General features: G+C 45.4%; 1 protein-coding gene across 1 annotated transcript; it reads right to left on the reverse strand.

The window, feature by feature from the left end:
- Window positions 1-1,505: 1,505 nt before the first annotated feature.
- On the reverse strand, window positions 1,506-2,789 carry SPANXN5 (SPANX family member N5). The gene is made up of 2 exons (NM_001009616.4): window positions 2,636-2,789; window positions 1,506-1,993 (listed from the first exon to the last, which is right to left on the reverse strand). Exons 1-2 carry the CDS (start codon window positions 2,708-2,710, stop codon window positions 1,850-1,852), a joined length of 219 nt encoding a protein of 72 aa, NP_001009616.1. The 5' UTR covers window positions 2,711-2,789; the 3' UTR covers window positions 1,506-1,849.
- Between the last annotated feature and the right edge of the window lie 677 nt (window positions 2,790-3,466).

The raw sequence follows: 3,466 nt of genomic DNA on the forward strand, positions 1-3,466 counted from the left end.
AGGCCAAGGCAGGCGGATCATGAGGTCAGGAGATCGAGACCATCCTGGCCAGCATGGTGAAACCCCGTCTCTACTAAAAATACAGAAATTAGCTGGGCATGATGGTGCACGCCTGTAATCCCAGCTACTCGGGAGGCTGAGGAAGGAGAATCGCTGGACCCTGGGCGGCAGAGGTTGCAATGAGCTGAGATTGCACCATTGCACTCCAGCCTGGGCAACAGAGGGCGATTCCACCTCAAAAACAAACAAACAAAAACAAAACAAAAAATAAAAAGTGGTAGCAGAAATCAGAAAGTCCAGATATGTAGGTAATTGGCCTTGTTGTACAGCAGCAGCCAAGGGTGAACACTAAATGCTCCCAGGCAAGTCCTAAGTTCATCGAGTAACTGGAGTACCCATCTGTGTTAGTTAATTGCCTTTATCTGAAGGAAAAATAAAACTCATATCTCTATGACAAGCAGGTGCTTACGGCTTGGAGCAAGGCACCTAAGTTAAACTCCCCTGGTGACAGGGAGACAAAGACATCATCTTCCTCAACGTTCACCTTTCAAAGAGATGCTCCATGGCCCTGAAGAAAGACATTCCTGGTGGCGGTGTTTGGTAGCTCACACCTGTAATCCCAACACTTTGGGAGGCTGAGGCTGGAGGATCACTTGAGGCCTGGAGTTCAAGTTCAAGACATTCCTGGGTTATAGGGTGGCCAGAGGCTTACATATCAAAGGAAGAATTTATAAATACAAATTTTCTCAAGGAAATGCTCTAAGGAAAGTGAAATGGGGAAGGTCTCTTCTTGCTCTTTTGGCAACAGGAAAATCTCAATTTTATGTTTAGTTACCCTTACAATTTCCCCCTTTTGTTATTCTTTTATAGTAACAGTACAATTTTCTAGTTATCTCCACTGCTTTGAAATGAGGCTCATTGGCACTGGAGAAGCTGGTTCATTCACACAGTCAGCTTCACATTCCCTCTTTTGATCAAGATCTTTCTTTGAAAACCTCACAAACCTGAGGTGATCCACCCACCTCAGCCTCCCAAACTGCTGGGATTACAGGCGCAAGCCACTGTGCCCGGCCCTATAACCAATGTTTTTAATTGTATCCCTCTAGAGAGAGTGAGCAGAGGTGTCTGTGTATGTCTGTATTGTGCTTTGTGTTTTACAGAACATTAACTCTTTATAAAGCATATATTTCTAACCTAGGAAAATATCAAATGGAAAAGGGATGGGAATACCTTTGATATGTACATTCAGCAGAACTATGTGCTGCCGGGTACAGTTGCATGAACATATACACATCTCCACTTCCTGTGGGAGGAAATTTTAAGAAGAAAATTTTCTTTAGGAATCAGTGCTCCCCCAGGCCTTATTTACAATGTCTGGCTTACTGTCAACCTGTGAGTCTGTCCACCAACCCTACAGGACCTCATATCCCTCCCTTCTCAAATGCCTACCTCTTCCCTTCCCTTCTCCCCCACCATCAGAAAACAGGCATAGATATATGCAGCCATCAGCTTCTCAAACTTGATTTTATTGTAATCATCACCGTTGGTGGTGAGGATTTGTCCAATTTGGTTTCTCCATGTTTAATTAGTCTTCCTCACCCTCCTCTGACGATCCTTCAGATGAGTCTGGGTCTTCTTCCTCCATCAAAGATCCTTCAGATGAGTCTAGGTCTTCATCCTCTTGTGAAGATCCTTCAGATAACCCTAGGTCTTCATCCTCCTGTGAAGATCCTTCAGGTAATTGTAGGTCTTCATCCTGCTTTGAAGATTCTGCAGATGAGTCTAGGTCTTCGTCCTCCTGTGAGGATCCTTCGTCCTCCTCCTCTTGGACTGGATTGATGGAGTTCTCTCAGGACTGGTCATTCTCGAGTTGATTTGAATGTATTTTCTTAGTCTTCCTGTAGCACAACACTAATACTGTTGAATATTCTGATGTTTTCATCTTTTTCAAACTCGGTTCGAGGACTAAGTCCCTGTTTGGTGTCTCCTGCATCTGTTAAGAAAACAGGGAGAGGCCAGAAAGACATTATTTTGGGTGAATAGGATAGAGACTGGATAGCAAGGGGGGCTTTATGAGAAGGAATGCAGGTTGAGGAAGGGGTTCGATCCAGAGAAGAACAAGGTTGACTCACAGGGTAGGGATCTATGGGGAAGAAGAGGAGCATGGGTAGGGTCATCTGTTAGTCCAAACTGCACCATTTTGTAAGTTCTTTGCTATTTTGCAGACCTTGGTCAAAGTGAAACATCCCATGGGGGTTCAGGCCGTGAGAAACATCCTGCCTAACCACCTGTCCACAAGGCAGACAAAGGCCCAACTAAAGAAACATCCCTATCATATCTTGCTTGGCAAAGTTCTAAGGAACACCACAACGATATTCCACCAGAAAAAGGGCCAAACCACCTGATCATAAGAACATCTTATCAATATCCTGCTGGGCAGCAAGCCATGCTGCCCAGATCCCTCCCACCCATACCTGTAAGTACCCCAGGCTGTAAGCGGTGGTGGGATCTGGCATTAAGCTGGTCCCCCACTTCCACAAGCGTCTGCAGTATTCCTGTGTTGCTGTTTGAGCTGCCCCCTCTCTGTGTGTCTTTCTTTCACCCTCGCCTTCACTTCAAAACCTAACAATCTTACCTCATCATTTTTGCTGTTGGAGTCACAGGGGCTCTTCCTCTTCTCCCCATTGGTGCTTGAAGTGGGCTTTTCCATGATTCTGGTTGGTTGTTGAATGTCTACAGCAGGATCTTGTAGAGTCCAGACTTCCACAGCTATATTGAAGCTTCCCAGTGGCCCAGAGCTCTTGCCCTCCCTATATATACCCTCCTGGTGACAAGGCAAAGCCACACCCTTGAGCTTTGTTTGATCATACAGGCAGTGTCCCAGCCAATGGCAGTCCAAGGGTGGCTTAGACATCACAAAGCACCACTGCTGACCACTCCCTGGGCTTGTGGGGGAGGGGTGACAGGGGTGTAGAGGAAACCAAATGCTGCTGTTGTTTCAGCATCCCCTGAAGACGCATCCCAAACTGATCTGCTGCCGCTCCTCATTTCTCCATGTTTAATGTTCATGGTTCACATGGAAGTGAGAGGTTGATTCTGTCAAGCCCTTCCCCACAGCCATTCCTATTAAGTGATTCATTCTTTTGTCTTCCAGCCCTCACCATGACTTAGTATTTTAGATGTCTCACCTCAAATCCCCCAAGCTAGTGTGGCTACATTTAATTATTGGTGGAGATGTGAATTATCCCATTTCCCTCTTACAGTTCCTTCATATGCACCTTGAAGACCATTTACTCTTGGGCTACTGCCAGGCAAATTTCAACCCATGTTCTTTTACCCAATGTCCATGTAGTTCTTTTAAGTTTCCTATTTCCAATCTGAAACAATGGCCTCAGTCTGTCAAAACTTTAGTGAATTAACATTCTTTACCTTGCATCCTAGTCTTGTTTCAAATCAGGGGTGTATG

The sequence above is a fragment of the Homo sapiens genome, chromosome X (assembly GCF_000001405.40).
Source record: "Homo sapiens chromosome X, GRCh38.p14 Primary Assembly".
NCBI classification, from domain to species: Eukaryota; Metazoa; Chordata; class Mammalia; order Primates; family Hominidae; genus Homo; species Homo sapiens.